This window comes from Homo sapiens, chromosome 5, assembly GCF_000001405.40.
Source record: "Homo sapiens chromosome 5, GRCh38.p14 Primary Assembly".
Taxonomy (NCBI): Eukaryota; Metazoa; Chordata; class Mammalia; order Primates; family Hominidae; genus Homo; species Homo sapiens.
Window position 1 is genome coordinate 76187900 of NC_000005.10, and position 20430 is coordinate 76208329.

Below are 20430 nucleotides of genomic sequence, written 5' to 3' on the forward strand. Positions count from 1 at the left end.
GCTTTTTCTTTTCCATCACTATTTTATTTCTCCGCTTTTCTCTTTACGTGATGCCAATAGTAATATTAATAATTGTTGGTCGGGTGCAGTGACTCATGCCTGTAATCCCAGCACTTTGGGAGCTAAGGGCAGGTGGATTGCTTGAGCTCAGGAGTTAGAGACCAGGCCTGGGCAATATGGTGAAACCCCATCTCTACGAAAAATACAAAAAATTAGCTGGACATGGTGGCACGCACCTGTAGTCCCAACTATTTGGGAGGCTGAGGTAGAAGGATCACTTGAACCTGGGAGACAGAGGTTGCAGTGAGCTGAGATCATGCCCCTGCACTCTAACCTGGGTGACAGAGTGAGACCCCCTCTCAAAAATAATAATAATAATTGTTGCTTATTGGACAACTGTGTGTTTTACACAGTACTAAGCACTTTATCTCATTTAATCTCTCAAAACCCTGTGAAGTAGGTACTGTTATTAGCCCCACTATACAGAGGAGAAAACTGAGGCAGCACAAGGAACTTAAGTAACTCTAGGTCACACAGCTAGGAACTGGTTGGGGAAGGGTTCAGATCTAAGCCATCTGTTTTAAGAGCCCAGGCTCTTAACTATTTGCTACCTGACCCAAAGTTCAGAGTGGTAAATGGTAGTAGAATGAAGACTAAGCATACTGCATTTGATTTAAAAAATAATAAAGTTATTTTTCCCCCATCTTAACCCCCATTACTTTAATAATGGATTCACTTCTCAGCACTATTAATGAAAGAATTTAATAGAACAAGTACTGAGCTTGAGATTTCATGCTATCATTTCTAATCAGACACAGAATTTGTAACCAGTAATGACAAAAAATAGCAAATTGTGGATAACAAGGAGATGTTACAGCCTACTTAGCATCTTGGGTGGGGGGCAGGGACAGCTGGAGAGGGACAGTGGTCCCTGGAGTCAGCCTTCTATGGACTCTGATGGAGTCTGGCCAAGGGAAGACCACACTCAGCCAACCATTTTGGGGTTCCAGGAGCAGGGACAACAGGGCAGCAGCTGTGAAAGCTTACACCTCAGTGATTAGGTGGGGAGGGTCCATAAGAGGCCAAAAAGGGAGAGAGGCACCCCACTCCCACCCCCATGCACACAGAAAGGAAAGGCTGGGCCAACTTTGCAGGACTGACTGACCCAACATCTAGCCCAAACCAAGCATTTGACACAGGCGGAAGCTAGAAGACTGGCCTGAGATCTTAAGTATAGTTAGAGGGAGACTAGAGCTAGTCCAGGGTACCTTGGCACCTTTGTCCAAGGATTTTTCTAGCATAAAATGAAAAAAAAAATGACTCTTTGAGGAAATAGGAGAGACGGAGCTTACACTGATGTGTAAGCTTTCACAGCTGCTGCCCTGTTGTCCCTGCTCCTGGAACCCCAAAATTGTTGGCTGAGTGTGGTCTTCCCTTGGCTTCCTAGAATTGACCTTAAGAGGATATCATTTTCAGTGTTGCCTTTGGTAATAAAACAAACCAATTTGCAGTGACTATTCCAGTAGCTGATTTCTTTAAGCACAAAGCATACTTTTAGGGGTCTTCAGAGGCATGGTAGAAACCCCCTTACCTGACTAAATCAGGTCTGGTAATTAGTTGGTTAGTAGAAAAGTTGGTAAATGCAGGAAAACATGCAAAAATATAAATATGTATGTAAATATGGTGTTTTAACCTATAAGCATACATTCGTTTGATCATCTTTGGATGCAGAGTGAGAGATTTTTCCTTTGAGTTGGGCTCTTCAAACTGGAGTTCCCCATTGTTTTCTTTGCATCACTACAGTCATTCTGCAGCTTTGATTTTTAGTCTTAAGTTTCTTTAAAGTGGAGTGAGACCGTAAAAACACATGTGCCTCAATCTGAGCACAGGATCCTTCATCTTAATGATTTTTCTCAGTCTTTTTTTTTGTATTGCTCACATTGCAATGATTTTCTTTTGCAAGTCATCTTCCCCAAGTCTTTCTTACATTCACTTTCATAGAAATAGCTCCCTTTCCTTTCACACTCAGATTTCATTATTTATGTGATTGGTGTTAAATTAAATGCATAATTAATAACAAACAGAACTGGCATAAAAAAGTTGGGTACAAACATAGGTAACTCTTCAGAAACATAAAGTGCTGCTGGTGGAAGCAGAAGGAAGATGGGTGAGTGAAAGGAAAACACTTGCAGTGATGGTTTTTGGTGTGTTTGTGGGAGGGGTGGTTACTTTATTGGGTTGGTGAAATGAAAACTGGCCAACTGATGTTAAAGGGAAAATTATTTGTAATGCTTGTTAAAGCATAGTCAGGACCATCATAACAGGTCTAGGGACCACTGCAATGGGTTTTGCAGTATAAAAGAGAGATCAGGCTCAACTCCTAGTACAAAAAGGAAAAGTGTGAATTTAGAGCCAAGGTCCAGGGTGGGAGAGTTAGTGGATAGAAAATTACCAAGAGGGATCTACCGCCATATCACCCTGAATGCACCCAGTCTCATCAGAAAATTACCAAGAGGAAACATTAGGGGTAAAGAAGACTTTGGGTAAGTTGACCTAACTGGATTCTTGCTGAAGACAGAGCAGGGTGATCAGATATTGCCCAGGGGATCTGATCAGATATTGAAGACAACCAGCCATCTAGAGTCGGGGATTCGCTGACTTGGCAGGATTCTTGCTAAAATTGGGCAATGCAGAAATGAACACAGAAGTCCATACTTCATAGTCTAGTTGAGAAGAGTGGTCCAAAGACTAGGGTTTGGTCAAGGAGAGATTGTGTGTCACTGGGCCTCTATTGTAGACACACCTCAGATTTGTGGAAGAAACTCTACCTTTGGGAAAACAAATGCACCTACTTCTTATGAAAGAAGTAATAACATCTAAAAAAATGAAGCATTATTTGAGTAACAAAGCTTTATTTAATGTCAGTCCATATTATTCTTTTCAACCATTTCCAGAAATGTCCTTATCATTCAACAAAAATCTACTTTTATTTTTCTTTGACTCAAAAATTTTGTTTTAACCTAAGAAGATCTGCATATAAAAAGTGATTGTGATTGTCACCTCATGGACATTATCAATTGTGTAAGTCAATTCTCACACTGCTGTAAAGAAATACGTGAGACGGACTAATTTATAAAGAAGAGAGGTTTAATTAGCTCACAGTTCTGCAGGCTGTACAGGAAGCGTGGCTGGGGAGGCCTCAGGAAACTTACAATCATGGTGGAAGGCAAAGGGGAAGCAGGCATGTCTTACATGTCTGGAACAGAAGGAAGAGAGAGAAGAGGGAGGTGCTACACACTTTTAAACAACCAGATCTTGAAAAGCAAAAGGGAAATCTACCCCCATGGTCTAATCACCTCCCAGGTCCCACCTCCAACATTGGGAATTACAATTTGACATGAGATTTGGGCAGGGACACAGACCCAAACCTTATCATCAGTGAATTCGGAATACTAATACAGAATGTTTTTCATTGAAAATCAGTTTATAAATAAATGGTGCAAGGAATTCTAGAGTAATGCATTAGCCATGCATTACTGAAGTGCTTAAGATAATTTTTAAAAACTGATGGACTAAAAGTTGGTATGAGAAAAACACTATATATCATTTCCTAAAGTTGTTCTGTTTTGTTTAAATATGGTTTAAAATGGTGTTGGGGGAAAAGACATGTCCCCTTAGGGATTGTCAGAAAGAATCTAAAGCAGCTTAGCAAAGAGACAGAAATGTAAATGTGATATTTATCAGGGGAAATGAGGGTATGATTAAATAAAATGGAACCAGCCTCCATGTCAGAAAATACCTTAATGAGGAAGTCATACTTGAGGCCTTTGTGTCATCTTCTGAAAGACTAAGAGCCTGGACTGGCCAGGAATGGCCTTCACCAGAACTATGGTAGGAAGAGTAAGTTGAGTTTATTTCTCAGGTCAGGTTCAACCTCCTGAAATCCCAGCTGAATTAAAGTCTTCATTAAATTCATGAAAGGACACAAGAGTCACAGCCTGGCCTCTTTTAACATCGCTTTCCTGGAATTGAATGGAAAGTCAGCTTCTAGTTCTGTGGAAGGCAGGTCCCAGGGGAGGTGAGCAGCTTCTAATTCCACAGCTCCTGCTTGCCCTTTTGAGAGCTCCAGCTCATCTAGCAGGTCTTGCCTGTTTCACATCTTTGGAGTTAAAATACTCTGTAGCCTTCATCTCCTCCCCTCAAACATGTATTTAAAAAAATACAAACTTTAAGTTAAAAATGTATTAGAAATGTTGTCTGTGTTATTGGAAAGCACCCTCAGATTCTAAGGTATACACAGATTACTTGGGGGTCTTATTCAAATGCAGACTTTGAGTCAGTGGGTTTGGAGTGGCGTCTAAGAGTCTACATTTCCAGTAAGCTCCCCAGGGCAAGGGAGGGAGGGACTGGTTTCACTGGTTCATGGGTCATACTTTGAGAAGTGAGGATCTAAAAGACCTGATTTCAAGTTCTGACTTCTGACAACTGTTTTCTTACTTGTAAAATGAGAGGCTTTGGATGAAGATACCTTTTAAGTCTGCCCGTCTGCAGCATCTCAAGGCACAGAGAGAGAGAAGGCTGGAGATTGTCTAGAGCTTGATGTCTGCTCTGAGTTTTCAAGGACTCCCCGTTATAACACTGTGAATATAGAAAGGAAAAGTGAATGCAAACAGGGAAGGAAATACAGTTTGTGTCTGACAATCCCAGAGTGGTTACAATTATTCACCTGATGCCTTTGCCAACATTTAAAGGTTTGGCTTTAATTAGATCACACAATCCACAAATGAACCTTCTAATTGTGCTGTGTTTGTCTCCAATAAGCTGTTGGGTAGGATTAATTCTTTCCACAGAATGCCCAATGGAACAGTTTAGTTTTCAATACAAACTAAGTGTAGTCACAAAAGATTACTACCTTTAGATCTTAAAAATATTTTTAAACAGAGTGCAAGTAAAGATACAGTTTGATATGACATTTTTTATACTAACTGTGTCAGTCATGGAGGAATTTAATACCATTTTGAAATCTTTCTTATCCTTCGGATTCCCCTCTGATGTTCTCTTGTTAGTAAAATCTTCCCAGAGGCCACGTGAGAATTAGTAGCCACCTTCTGCCCCTCTGCTCCTATTTACACTGCTGTTCGGGTGCACACCACATGGTTGGGCTTGAGCTCATTTAGTTTTGTATCTGTTTTTGTCCTTCTCTGAATTACGAGCTCCTTAAGCCATCCTGACAGAGTAGGAAAAAAATTTGGATGACTTGGAGCACAGGTACATGAGTTTACACTTTGTTCTGTTCTGATCCTATGATCCCAGGAGGCCATTCTGCCTTCGTTTTTGATAAGCCACTTTCCCCAGACTGTAAATCCCATATTCTCAGGGGTCTGAAAGTCCAAATGCCTTCAGGGAAAGGTGGTAGGAGGAATGCAGAAAGCAGTGGATGGTGATAGTCTAGGGGGCAGTAGGAATCTTGGTTAACCTGCCTTGCCCCAAGATCTCAGATGCATTTTCTTTAAACACAACAGGGTTGAGCTCAAGCAGAAATTAACACCCAGCTAAAGACTTTGCTTCACATCACCTGGTTTCTGGTTTGCACATAACAGGGGCTCCCAAGTTGAGCTTAGCAGAAAGAACAGTGGAAATATTCAAAATAATTAATAACAAGGATAGCCAGGGAATCAAAATAGCATGTTTATAGCTCTAAGGTTTACCCTATAGCATCAGGTTTTAACCCTTTAGTTACTGGATCAAGGGAAAGTCCAGGACTTCCCAGTGGAGAGGCCAGGGCAGTTGAGCCTGGTGAAATGGAATATCAGCCCTGAGAAAGACCCCCAGGCTTTAGTCAGAGAAACATCATTTCACAACCCTGGCTAGCCACTTACTGTCTGTTAGATCAAGTTGAATAATCTGTCTGAGCCTCAGTTTTCTCATCTGTAAAATGGGTTAATAATACTCACTTTGCAGGACTGTGGTGAGGATTAAGTGAACCAACATATGGAATGTTCCTCAAAGAGTGCCTGGCACAAACAGATGCTCACTCAGTGAAAGTAGTACCAGGGGCTGTTGTTTACTATTATCTTTAAAAGATAATAAGTGGTTATTGATTGAATGCAGACAGCTTGTCTTTGTGTTACTCATGCTTTCTGTAGTCAGATAATTCAGGTGGACCACAAGAGATCTTGGTTTACTGTTGCCATCAAGGTGGCTTACCCCAGGGCTCAGGGGCTGGGTGGGGGCAGTTCTGAAAGACATAAGGAGAAGGGGATAGGCGAGGCTTTGTTCCCTGGGCTGGAGCTATATGAAAGACTCCCAAGTCTTTAGATCACAGCATCCACAGGCCGCTCCTGATCTATAAAAGCTCACTTTCTGATTTGTAGGCATTTTAAAAGACACAGATATTCTTATAAAGATGCTTAGCTAGTGATTATCTTCTGAGAGGCATGAGCGGCAAACTTGAGCCTCTTATGCTGTAAATAAGAGATCTGCTACATAGGCATTTCCCTGGGTCAATCCTTCTGCTTTTGGAATCCCTCGTGCTGCACTTATACATTCTCTAAATTGTCTCCAGGACACACACTGGGTCTCATGACAGGAGGAATCTCCATTGAGAAGGATGATCTGTCCATAGTCAGCACCATAGTACAGAGAAAAATATACCCTCCACACCCAGGCAAAGGTTGACCACCCTATTCTCTGTAGTAACCCAGCCTAAATAAAGACAGCTTTTATTTTACAATTGCTCACAACATTCACCATTCACTGTAGCTGAGTGTACTCAGCTATCTGCAAAACAGCATCCCTGCATTATTGATGTGAGGGTCGTGAGACCTTGCCAAGTGTTTTTTCCATATTGCTTACTCTTCAACTTGAAAACTGATTACTGTGTCCTGAAGGTTATATTTTTAAAGGAAATTTTCCTCATGCAAAATGCTGGAATGTATTTTGTTCCTTGTTCACTTGCTGTTACATGTGTCATTGACTCCCAACCTCTGATGTGTTTCTTTGTTTTCTGTGTGTTGCAGGCAGCATAGTGTACCTCGGGATGATGGTGGGGGCGTTCTTCTGGGGAGGACTGGCAGACAAAGTGGGAAGGAAACAGTCTCTTCTGATTTGCATGTCTGTCAACGGATTCTTTGCCTTCCTTTCTTCATTTGTCCAAGGTTATGGCTTCTTTCTCTTCTGTCGCTTACTTTCTGGATTCGGGTAAGGTTTTCTCCTTCATATTTTATAGTAATGTGTTTATTCTTCATAATTCTCCACTCTAGAGAACCTTATTGGGAGGAAATTATCCCTTCACACATCTCCTTCCATATCCTCATGTCAGCCCTGGAAACCACAATGCTGGTTCTTAGAAATATAATTATCAACCTTTAAATACAGGACAGAAGGGAACACACACCTATGTTTTCATAGCTGATTATTACTTCTAGAAGAAGAGTATTGTTTTAAATGGAATGCTGTTTCTATGGTAGAACACATTCACACATATATGCTGCTTCTGAAAATTTAACATAAGTAGGAAATAGCTCTCGTCCTACCTGTTATGAACTAATTAAAGGTTTGAGCCATTCAAGCATGCTCTTAAATTCAGGATTAGAGTGTCTCAAATAAATGCACTTTTATTGGTCTATGTTAACTTGGCATATTTAACTTGGTAGAAAGCCTCCTTGAGACGTAATTTTTAGTAAGTTCCTGACTTCTGTTGAATTAACAGAAGTTGTGCTATTACCCAAATGCAGTGGTAGAGTGTAGCCGATGTTCATTTTCTTTAAAGAGCTTAAAGCACTTATAACTATACTAAATGAATCCATAAGCATAGAAAAACCTAATAGCTGAATAAGGAATATATGAGAAACTTTGCTTCAATAAGAAAAAAACATAGTAAAAATATAAAATTTTTATAACGAATGGGTACTAGGCTTAATGCCTGGGTGACAAAATAATCTGTACAACAAACCCCCACGACACAAGTTTACCTCTATAACAAATCTGCACATGTTCCCCTGAACTTAAAAGTTAAATATATCTATATATAAAATTTTTGATTCATGATTAAGAACTTAGAGACTTTTTTTTCAAGATGTCTAACACAAAATGAATCTGTAGGAATAATATACAATTTTTAAACATAAATGAAGAAAATGAGGGAAACGGGGCTGGGTTATAAACTTTAAAAGCTATCAGTTGTGGTTGTTAGTGATACATCACCACAACCTACAAAGCAGAACACAGTTTTGTGAAAAGAGGTCAGAGGACTATAGCATGTCTTTCTTAATTATGTATAGTAGCATTTCCCACAGCTCCTATGCTACATTCTGCACACAATGAGCACTTAGCAAATACTTGACTAAGTTGCACAAATTTTAGGAGCTTTCCTTAGAGTGAAGACAGTGCATTTCAGTAAACCAAGATGGCTGGAGAGTTTGGGAAAGTGTAAAATATTTTGTTCTTGGGGAAAAAAAAATGTTCAGAATCAATCATTTGCTTTGTAGCAACGGAGAAAGGGGAGAGGAGGCTTTTTCTCCACAGGGGAGCCCCTTGGTGCTCAGTTTCTGTGAGACTGGCTACATACGCTGCTGACTTGAAGATGGATTTTGGATTATGGACTCAAAGGGTTTCAGCAGACCTAAATGTTGAATGATTGAATGAATGAATGAAGAACAGATGTTACTTGGGGCTATTAGTTAAAGGACCTTCTCAGTGAGTAGGTCCATAGGATAAGATATTCTTGCCACCAGGAAAGGCCAAGCTTCCTTCTCCCTTTTATTATCTATAATAAAACCACTAGCCTGTCAACAGAAGGCTAACAGCATAAGCGCTGAATTTTCCAGTCCTTTCAGTTTGCAATCTTTTTTGGGAAATTGAAGCAATATCCAAAGACCCAAAAGTACATGACTGTGGTCAAATTATTGTGGCAATTTTAATTGCCAATCTGGATTGAGACATGGTCGTCCCAACAGACTGTAGAGAAAAAGGTCCACTGTGGTGGCTGCAAAATATTCCAAACCAATGGCCTGTCCAGAAGCGAATTCAAGGGCAACATAAAAGCAGAGACAACTTAGATGTATTCTTGATATTATCCTCATTCCTACTGCAGACAAATCATTCTTCAGCCAACAGGTCAGGACTCCCGGGGGCTGGGAATCAAGAAATCCAGGTGTGCCCTACTCCTGCCCATTATCATGGAGTCTTAGGAAAGTCATGCAGGCTCTCCTGCCTGCTTTTTCTTTTGTAAAAGAAGACATTAGGACTTTGCATTGTTACCTTGGAGTGTGAAGATCAAATGAGATGATGTATTGAAAGTACAAGGTAGAGAAGATAATGTAGGATAATGTTTAGAAACACTCACTCATAGTTTGGCATTTCTTATCTCCTTTGTTCCTCCTCACATACATTTTGCTAAGCTGTTCTATGTTGATTGCCTTGGAGTGACAGCAGGGGAGGAGGCAGAAAGAGACTCCTTTCTGGCTTTTTAAATTTCAAGTCTGGCCCATGCAAGAAACAGAAAGGCCTAATCAGGGACAAAATATTTGGGAGAAAACATGGCAAGTAAAATCAAGCATAAATCAAGTTAATCTCTATAATAAATGGTGAGTACCTAGGCTGGGGACAGGGCTGAGGGGGGAGTCATGTGAGCTTAGTTACCTTAGTCCAGGTGGCAAAATCTCTGCAGAGTTTTGTGGGATCCAGCGGCTGACAGGACCTGAGAAATGAAGTTATTAAGGAAAATGAGGGAAGAAATCTATATTGGTCAGCATTCTCCAGAGAGAGAGAACCAATAGGAAAGAATGGATAGAATAGATAGACAGGCAGATAGATAGATAGATAGATAGATAGATATGAGACAGGACTAATTAAGGCAACGGCTCACACAATTATGGAGGCTGAGGAGTCCCATGGCAGGCCTTCTGCAAGCTGGAAATGCTGGGATGCCAGTAGCATGGCTCAGTATAAGTTTGAAGGCCTCAGAACCAGGGAAGCTGATAATATAACTCTCATTCCAAGGCTAAAGGCCTAATAACTCAGGGTGCTGCTAGTGCAAGTCCCAAAGTCCAAAGGCCAGAGAACCTGGGGATCTGTTGTCCAAGGACAGGAGAGGAAGGATGTCCCAGCTCCGAGAGACTGCAAATTAGAATTTCCTCTGCCTTTTTGTTCTCTCCAGGTTCACAACCGATTGGATGGTGCCCACCCACCCCTGAGGGCAGAACTTCTCCACTCAGTTTACCAATTTGCATGCCCATCTCCTCCAGAAACACCCTCACAGACGCACCCAGAAATAATGCTTTACTAGCTGCTATAGTTTGGATTTTTGACCTTTCCAAATCTTACGTTGAAATTTGATCCCCGGTGTTGGAGGTGGGGCCTGATGGGAGGTTTTTAGGTCTTGGAGGTGGATCTATCATGAATAGATTAATGTGAGTGAGTTATTGCTCTATTAGTTCTCATGAGAGCTGGTTGTTTAAAAATAGGCCTGGCACCCCCCAGCCCTCTCTTTTGCTTCCTCTCTCACTGTGTGTTCTCTGCACATGCCAGCTCCCCTTTGCCCTCTCTCCTGAGTGGAAGCATCCTGAGGCCATCACCAGATGCCCAGTCTTCCAGCCAACAGAACCATGGCCAAATAAACCCCTTTTCTTTATAAACTGCCCCACCTCAGGTATTCCTTTATAGCAACAAAAATGGACTAAGACACCAGCTGTCTAGGTATCCCTTAATCCAGTCAAGTTAACATGTAAAATTGACCATTGCAATATTTTTCTTCTTCACCAAAGTTTATGGGCTATTTTACTTTTGCTTGCTTTGTGAAATGCTACCTTCATGGCCCAGGGTTTTTCTCAACAGTCTAGAGTTTATCTGGGAACTCTGTTTCTGAATCTCTGAGGAGTCTCATCAAAGTCTCTTTTTCTCCAATTCCATTCCAATTCAACTCAAAAAACATTGTAACACCTACTCTACTCACTGGAACCATGCAAGGACTTTCATGGATATAGCTGAGCCCTCACCTCAAGTTGCTTACAGTCTGTACAGACAGGCAGCTCTTCCAGTTCCCACCTTCCAGGAATTAGAGCCTGAAAAGAGGGCACAAGGGGCTTGGGAATCTCAAAGAGGAGGGAGAAAACAATAATAACATTGGAATAAGAAAATTTCTATTTCAATGATCCTCTTGTTTTCAAAGGCATATCGTATTTAAACCCTTCATTCCTATTACTTATTAACTCAGTACAGAAGCAGCTGAAGTTTTATATATTCTTTTTTTTATTTAAACTTTCTTTATTAAAACTTAAGCCAGAGAATTAAGATTCTCATCCTAGAGACCTTAAATAAAAGACCATGTTTTATCTACTTAAACAACTCCCTCCAACCATATCTGGTCCAGTTTTTAAATTGAGAAAAACTACGTGAAATAACATTCCAAAATGTTGGGAATGTTTCTTTTGTGGGCCTCTGGTGCACATAGGCCCCCGCACTCCACGCATTTCCTAGGAGTACAGTACTTGCCATCCTTTCTGCTTTGAAGCTTCTTCTCCCAGGGCCCTCCCACTCACAGCTTCCCAGAGGCGTTTCCTGAGACCACACACCCAGTGGGTCTCAGAGAGTTTCCTGTTTTGTCTCCTTGGCAGCACTTACAACTGATGCCTGAAAATATTTACTTCTTATGTTCTTCTTTCTCTCCTCCACCAGCATGTAAATTCCAAAGGGCTGGGACTGTCGTCTTGTTCAACATTGCTTAATCGCCCATGGCAGAGTGGGCATGGGTATTGTAAAAGACAGTGGAGTTCAAGCAGCAACCAGCATAGTCTGACTTGCAGCCATCTGTGTCATTGGCTAGTTAATCATGAAGTGAAATAGATAGGAAGCCTACTCAATTCTTACTTGATCTGTATAAGTAGAAAACTTATATGACTAGTGAATGAAAATCTAACTTGAGTCATGTCCCCTCCATCATTCCCAGACTGGAGCTGCTTTACAGACCCAGAACCAACTGAATGAAGGGGAGGCTGGGCCTCCTTGAAGAAGGATCTTTGTACCCAGCTAAATATTTATACTGTTAGTCTTTCTCCCAGCTTCCCCAAAGGGACTGAAGGCCTTTTACCAGGATGAGTGTGCATGGGAGAAAGGAAATAATCAGTCTTCTCAGGGCTTGTGGACACTGGCTCTAAACTGACACTAATTCCAGGAGACACAAAATGTCACTGTGGTCAACCAGTCAGAGCAGGGGCTTATGGAAGGCAGGTAATCAATGGTGTTTTAGCTCAGGTCTGTTTCACAGTGGGCCCAGTGAGTCAGGCACTGAATCCATCCCGTGCCTGATTCCACAGTTCTGGACTGCATAATTGGAACAGACCTACTCAGCAGCTGGCAGAATTCCCACATTGGTACAGAATCCCCACATTTAATTGGTACAGGGCCTGTCCATCAGCTCCATTTACTAGGAATTTTAGAACAAAGAGAAGTTCTAGTTCAGAGAGTCCAAACTTTTCATTTTGCAGATTGAGGTGCAGTGGTGGAACCAGGAATAACTCAGCTAGGACTTAAATTGCAATTAAAGTCATTTTAAACTTGCAACTCTGTAAATAAGTAAAATGTACATTCTGAATCCAAGGTTTACCTGTCTGTGTGTTGATTTTATCAAAAATGCTACAGATTTCCAGTTGCTGTGTCTTATTTCATTGCTGAAGCATCATTAGCAGCACTGTCTCTGCAAATAAAGGGGACTGGAAGGAGTTCTTTTTTATTTTATTTTTTGTTTTATTTTGTTTTTTGAGATGGGATCTCACTCTGTCACCCAGGCTGGAATGCAGTGGTGCGATCATGGCTCACTGCAGCCTTGACCTCCTGGGCTCAAGTGATCCTCCTACCTCAGCATCCTGAGTAGCTGGGACCACAGATGCATGCCACCACACCCAGCTAACTTTTAAAAATGTTTTGTACAAACAAGGTCTCCCTATGTTGCCAAGGCTGGTTTCAAACTCCTGGATTCAAGTAATCCTCCTAGCCTTGGCTTTCCAAAGTGCTGGGATTGCAGGCATGAGCTGCTGCACCTGGCCAAGCTCTTGTTTTAAACTGAGATCTACTTGGGTTTATATTTTTATTGTCTCCAAATGTGCTTTCCTCTTAATTCATCAAACCAAGTCATGAGCATATCTTCTTAGAAACACAAATATGTCCAGCTGACATATTGTATATGACTTTAAATGTTTATTCGGTACAATGAATGATTTTCCTGCCTGGGGACAACAGCGTTGTGTGGGAAGGAGGACTAGGACATCACCAATTACTCATCTGTCTATCACTTTCCTAAACGAATCTCACACCAAGAAACAGACACTTTCCTCCCCTCTTTTGTTATAGAAAATTAGAAAGATGGGAAATGGAGTTGGCACCATTGATTCATTTTCATTTGACCCAGAATTAAATTATTTGTAGCCAGTCACTGTTAATTATGGGAATGATAGTACTTTGGATGCTAGGCAATATCAGAGTCGGGAGCTTCTCACTGAGGGCCTGGCACTGCTAAGCAGGAAGGTCAGGAGAAAAATATAATAGCAACAGAAATTAAAATGAAATTTCAACGTGTCTGTATATCGTAAATGAAAGAATAGTAATTTCTTCCTCTGTGAATAGAGCCTACCAAATGTGTACTTCATAGCTATTTGCAATATTCATTCATTAGCTGTATTGAGTTATAGTAAGAATACCTTGGCTTTGTAGAAATCATCACCATTAACTGGAATTATTCAGAATGCTTTATATGTAGCATCCCATTTATTTCCACAATTGTTTTAAATAATTTGTCATGTAAAAATTGTGTGCCTTTTTTATTAGAAAATTGAGGCACAGAGGCCGGGTACGGTGGCTCATGCCTGTAATCCCAGCACTTTGGGAGGCTGAGGTGGGCGGATCACGAGGTCAGGAGATCGAGACCATCCTGGCTAACATGGTGAAACCCCGTCTCTACTAAAAATACAAAAAATTAGCCAGGCGTGGTGGCAGGCGCCTGTAGTCCCAGCCACTCGGGAGGCTGAGGCAGGAGAATGGCGAACCTGGGAGGCGGAGCTTGCAGTGAGCTGAGCTCGCGCCACTGCACTCCAGCCTGGGCGACAGAGCGAGACTCCATCTCAAAAAAAAAAAAAAAAAAAAAGAAAGAAAAAGAAAATTGAGGCACGGATTGATTATTGCTTCCAAATATTCAACAGACACCCAGTCTTCTGAATTTTGGTCTGATTCTGAGCTATGAGGTTTTTCCCTTCAAAGTAGTCTTTTTCTTAAAATAATCATATTGGAAAAATGCAGTCATTTAAAATTGTTTAAGACTTTTAAAATGTATTTTATCAAACACCTCTATAGTGCTTGCCGCGTGAGAGATGCTGTGTTCAGCACTTTATATTAGTAAATATTGACTCTCATCAGTGACCCGATGAGAAAGATGCTATTCATTATTCATATATCTTAACTGTATGTCATAAATGAGGAAGTTGAAGTACAGAGAGGTTAAGTTCCTATCTGAGGTCACACAATAAGTAATGTAATCAGGTTTCATACCCAGGCAGTCTGGCTCCAGGGCCCATGCTCATAACCATCAGGCTGTGCTGTGCTTCAGACTCAACCAGAAATGTCTCTGATTTCATATGGCACAACGTATACATGATATGTGCTCATACGTGTTTGAACAGATCAGTCCAAAAATATCTCTGGCCCCAGAGCATCAGAAGGGAAAGACCTTCCCCAATATGTAAAATGAGGCAACAGTCAAGATTATCTTTAATCCAAAAATAATATAAAACCCAAATTGTAAACAGTGTGTCAGTGTTTTCTTAGAGCTGCGTTGTCCAACATGGTAACCACTAGCTTCATGTAGCTACCAAGCACTTGAAATGTGACTAGTCCAAGTTGAGATGTGTTGTAGGTATAAAATACATAGCAGTGGATTTCAAAGACCTAGAACATATAAAAGAATGCAAAATATCTCAATAATTTTACATTGATTACACGTTAAAATAATATTTTACATATATTGGGTTAAATGACTATATATTAAAATTAACTTTACGTGATTGTTTTGTTTTAATGTCTCTTCTGGAAAAATTTAAAATTACATACGTGGCTCACATTTTCTATTGGAAAGCACTGTCTTAGGCAATGCTTTTTACTTTCCAACAAAAAGGCTGACCTTTTGGACACATTTTGTTTCCCAGTATACCCTTTAGCAAAGGTACTATTGATCACAAAGGAGAAGGAACAGAACAAAAGATCTTCCAGACCCACAGTGTATAATTGTGAAAAATTAGCCATATGCACTCTTTAGAATTCACTCTCTGGAGCCCACAGCAGGAATTTGTGTGCTTCATGCCTGCACCTCCAACAACTGGTGATGTGCCTGGCCCAGAGTTTGATTGGGTGAGGGGGTGGATAGAGGGATAATGGGTGGATAATGGGTAAATGAAGGGTGGGTGGGAGGATGAGTGCAGGAATGGATGAGGAAATGTATACAGCAAGAGGCTAGATACATCTGCATGTTCTATCATTAATTATAGAACATCATAATGATCATCACCATCTTTATTCATGGCACCTTTAGATGCTATGGGAAGGCATTCTTCCAACTCTATCAATAGCTAATTTTTTTTCAAGACAGTATTAAAGTCTTGATCCATGACTACCCCACTTCCCTCAGTGGTACTAAGTCTGCTACTGTGGATGCATAGACCTCCACAGTTTTAGGGGGTTAGGCCACCAATCTGATAGCAAACCAGGGCTAAGGGAGTTGAATTGCAGCTGTTTTCTTGGCAATGCAGTTTTCCCCACAAATTATATACTTAAAGATCAATATTTTTTAAATAACCAAATTTTCTACTCATTATTCTATTCATAGTTTACATAATATTTAGAAAATGACAACTTCATATATCGAAGAATATTATTTTTCAAATTGTGGCTTTGGAAATTGAAGACTAAAGCTACCCAAATCATCCATCCTTTGGCATTGCCACTGGGCAAAGGAAATTCTTGTTCTTGATTTGATGATGAGTTAGGTTACCAGTATGTGTTTTTCTCCCATTTCTATCTTTATCACTGATAGCAAACATGTGCCTTCTGATCTATATAGCAACCTTATTTTCTGTGCCAACCTAGCCTATTCAGAAAGAGTGTTAGGTGTGTGCTCTTTCATCTAAGCCTCTGAGCAATCTCCCCAAGGTCTGTGATACTCTATTTACTTTCATAAAGTGGAAGAGACTGAAAGGTTCATCTTTGGACTGCTGCTCTAATCCCTTATTTCTGGGTCCAATTTATAACATAATAAATTGGCTCTGAATTGCTTTGCAATTTGCCTGACAGTTCAGTGTCTTCTCTCCTTTTTGTTGATTCCGAGTAAGAATTAAAAGAATATTTTTCATGCAAGTTATTTGTAATTGTGATTCCTGACATAGGCCAGACCATTCACTAATCTTTTTATAATCCTATAATACTTGTCTTATAAAAGCTGCCAGAGTCAGCTCTTGGTAGACTCTGCCCTCTGTTTATTATTTGTATTGAACATGTGACTTTACAATGATTATTCAACTTTCTCCTTAATTATGTTCTTGCAGAATGTCCCATCTTCCAGTGGAAATGGGAAATGGAAGATTGAGGTAAAGGGCTGCTTGACAATTATATGGTGAAATAAGTTAGAATGAATTATTCTTTGTTACATACTAGCTAGAAAATTAAAGCAGAATAGAATTACTCAGTAGAATCCCTTCTCAAGACAAAGAATCATCAAACATTCCATAATTTCTCTCTAAAATGCCATGCTTCAAGCCATTTTAAGTACAATTACTCTTTTTATCTATAACCTCCCTCTTTCATTGAAGAAACCTAAACCCCTCCCCACCTTTGCCTGAAACAGCGTACATCAGTGTGATGAAGCACAGCAACAAACATAATCCCCACTGGGTTGCCAGCTGAACTGGAGTAAGACGAGGCGTGGCTGTGAAATTCACAGTCAGGCTTCCCAGTTTCCCAATGAGGTTTGTGCATACAGGAAGACTTGGCATACTCTGTCATCCTGTTGTGCTAAACTGGTTTAACTTGTGTGCCTCACATTTCCCAGCAGAGGAGAAATTTGGTCTGTAATGCTAACACATTCTTTGCCTTGCACAATATGCCACTTGTGAATTTGCCTTAGATTATTGGGGAAAATAAATGAATATATTTCATGATATTTACCAGATGCCTAGTATTGAGTCATGTGCAGACCTATTGAGGTGTTGTGCGTGTGTGTGTGTGTGTGTGTATGTGTGTGTGTGTCTGTGTCTGCTTGCCTGTGCATTGGGGAGATTCTGATTCATTCTAGAAATGTGTTTAATACAGAATGTTTTAGTTTCTTTATATTTGTATAATTAAAGTTGCAAAAACCTAGCACTAATATTTCTTAAGGAATAACTCCAACTCTGAAATTCCAAATATTAACATTCTATTTCATTTGTATAAATTAAGTTATTTTGAATCTGGCTAATCTCACACCTACGTAGAGTGTGAATTTCTATTATTATTCCTTCTGTGCCTCTTATTACCAAGGATAATTAAGATTTGACATTTTTGACAGCTAATAAAATAGACTTAATATCCAATACTGAGAAAAATTCTTTATAAGCCACTCTGATCTCATTGCTTCATTTATGTAAATGTTCCATTAAATATAACTTGAAAAAAATGAACTTGAACAGATTTCAACAGTAGCTAACTGATCATTCTATAACGAACACTAAGGTCTCCACGTAAACTGGATTTAAGGATGTGTTGCCCATCAGTTAATGTAAAAGATATTTGTGTCTTATATTATGGACTTTTATATAAAACCAATTATATTTTCCACATTAGCCCCCCACTGCAAAACTTTCCCAACCCTAGCGCTATTAATATTTTGGACTGGATAGTTCTTTTTTGTAAGGAGCTGTTCTGTGAGTTGTAGGGTGTTTAGCAGCGTCTCTGGCCTCTACCCTCTAGATGTCAGCAGCAGCCCCCAAGGTATGACAACCTAAAGGTCTCCAGACATTGCCAGATATCTTCAGGGAGCAAAGAGGAGCAAAATCAGCTCTATTTAAGACCTACTGATACATGGGAATTTAAGGACTTTCATTTACATTTTTTTAATTTCTTCATATATTTTCAGAAATTGTATCTTAGTGTAATAAACAAACAAAAAACAACAAATAAGGAAATTTTTAACCCCTCACATGCAATATTGAGGTAGAATCATAATGGGAAACTTCTTTTTAATTTATAAGATTTGGGGGTTGGGGAGTGGCAGATTTTTCTTATCTTCAAAACTTACCAGAGGAACCAAATTATGTTGTAAGACCTGAAAGCCCTTGCTTTATCTCTTCCCTAAACATTTTTCTGATGATCATTATAGCATCTGCAACCTTTTTCTGAAATGCTCACAGGTGTTATAGAAGCTCCTGGAATGCCCAGTGGGATTGCCCAGTGTCCCCTGAGCAGTTCCAAGGGAGCTCTCTCCACAACAAGGACCGTCAGGTCATTTGGTCAAGGGGTGACCACAGCAACTAAGGCATAGAGCAACTCAGGAACCCTTTGGGGGCTCCATTGCTGTCAAAACTTTCAGTCTAGCACCCTCAACTTCTATTATGGTCATATTGGTTCAGAAAGTGAGGTGTATCTTTCTATTCACTGGAGATCTTTAAATCATGAGAACAGATTACTCCAGGAGACTTGGTATGCCAACTACAACATTGAAGAGTCTGGGAAATTCAGTTCTTTTGCGTAAACACTTAGCACATGTCCACTGGGCCAGTTAATGGGGACTCAAGAATGAATATGATAAAGTCCCTACCTTCAAGGGGTTTATGGGGTGTGAAACACTAGTAATAGTAATAGTTTCTTCTCTGTTTAAAGGACATCACAGTAGGACAAGGAGTAATTTTTTCCCCAAAATATATCATCAGCCCACAATAAGAAATGTGAATGCTTGGATTGTTTTATATATCGCTGAGTCTAAATAACTTTGCAAAGGATTTAAATAGAAGCCTTCTCTAATTCTTCAGACTCACTTATCCCTTAGTATTCCTTAGCACTTCCTTGCAGCCTGCTTTACAAACAAGTATTGAGAGACATCCAGAAAAAATAACCACGTGCAAAAGAGGCATTGAATAAAAACCAGCCAGATTGCCTAGAAGCCCCTACAAGTTGGTGTTTTCTTATGTAACAATGATTTGTTGAAAACTAACAGGCAAATCTACAGTCTTCCACTTGAAATTATAGCCACACTGCAAAAAAAAAAAAGAAAGAAAGAAATTATAGCCACACCGAAGTACCTTTATCTTGGTCCAGAGGGTCTGGCATATCCTGACATACAATAGTGCCTTCATGAAGCTTAAGTTATAGCTATTAAGAGGATGTCCAGAGTCCTGATGAAACATTAATGAGGAAGTGAAAAGTCAGTAAAAACTAGGACTATTTTTATGCATTGAGAAGTTAAGCTGGGATTTTATGGTGCAGAGAAACGGATTCTTCACATCAAATGAAGAAAAGGAGTAGTATTAAATTATTTGTGACACAGATATTTTATTTCATACTAGGATTGTGTGTTATAATGAAACCACTTATAATCTGTTCAAAATATTGTTGAGTTTTAAAATTCAACTAGCTTACTATACCAATAAGCATCACACATTTGTTTTTTGTCATGGTTAATATGTGATATTTGTTTTCAGGGCTTTTAATGATCACAGATAGCAAGCAAGCATGCAGCTTACCCCTTGAAAGGGCCTCACTCTGTCACCCAGGCTGGAGTGCAGTGGCCCTTTAAGGCTCACTACAGCCTCAAACTCCTGGATTCAAGTGATCTTCAGCCTCCCAGTGGTCTTTGTAGACAGCCTGGTGGAGTCTCATGGCACAGAAGATTAATTAAATGATGTCTTTCAATTTTACTATCTGCATTCCATCAAAAAATAAAAATAAAATAAAATAAAATTCAACTAGCTATCCATTGTATGAGCTCCTCAAGAAGCCCAGGCAAGAGAATTGTATGAGTCTAATACGGTGCAGTATAGAGCCAGCTCTGAGCCCCCACCACATGCATTTGTTTCTTGTTTGAGGGTTTGGTTATGGACTTGGACTTGGTTGGCTGCCTCTGTGTGTGATGGTGCTAAATCTGAAGACAGGTTGAGTCACACCTCTAAGAATTTTAGGTAGAACCACTGCTGTCATAGCCCAGAGAAACTGATATAGATGCCTAAAGTTTGTGAATTTTAAACTCTTTGAACAGGAACTCCCACTAAGAAACACACTGTGACCCATTATATATTTTATATATGTATATTATACATTACAAATACATTTATAACACAAATTTCATGAAATGATACTTATGCTTATCCTTATTACTTAGGTTGCACTTAAATATTTTTATCACTATCTCATTTTTTAAAATGC

At 39.9% G+C, this 20430-nt stretch overlaps 1 protein-coding gene across 5 annotated transcripts in view; it reads left to right on the plus strand.

The window, feature by feature from the left end:
• Positions 1 to 20430, plus strand: part of SV2C (synaptic vesicle glycoprotein 2C) — a 506476-nt gene that overhangs the window by 340436 nt on the left and 145610 nt on the right. For all 5 annotated transcript variants that reach the window (XM_011543282.4, NM_001297716.2, NM_014979.4 and 2 more), the window contains exon 3: positions 7020 to 7200. In XM_011543282.4, the coding sequence (XP_011541584.2) occupies positions 7020 to 7200 (181 nt within the window). The remainder of the gene's footprint in view (positions 1 to 7019; positions 7201 to 20430) is intronic.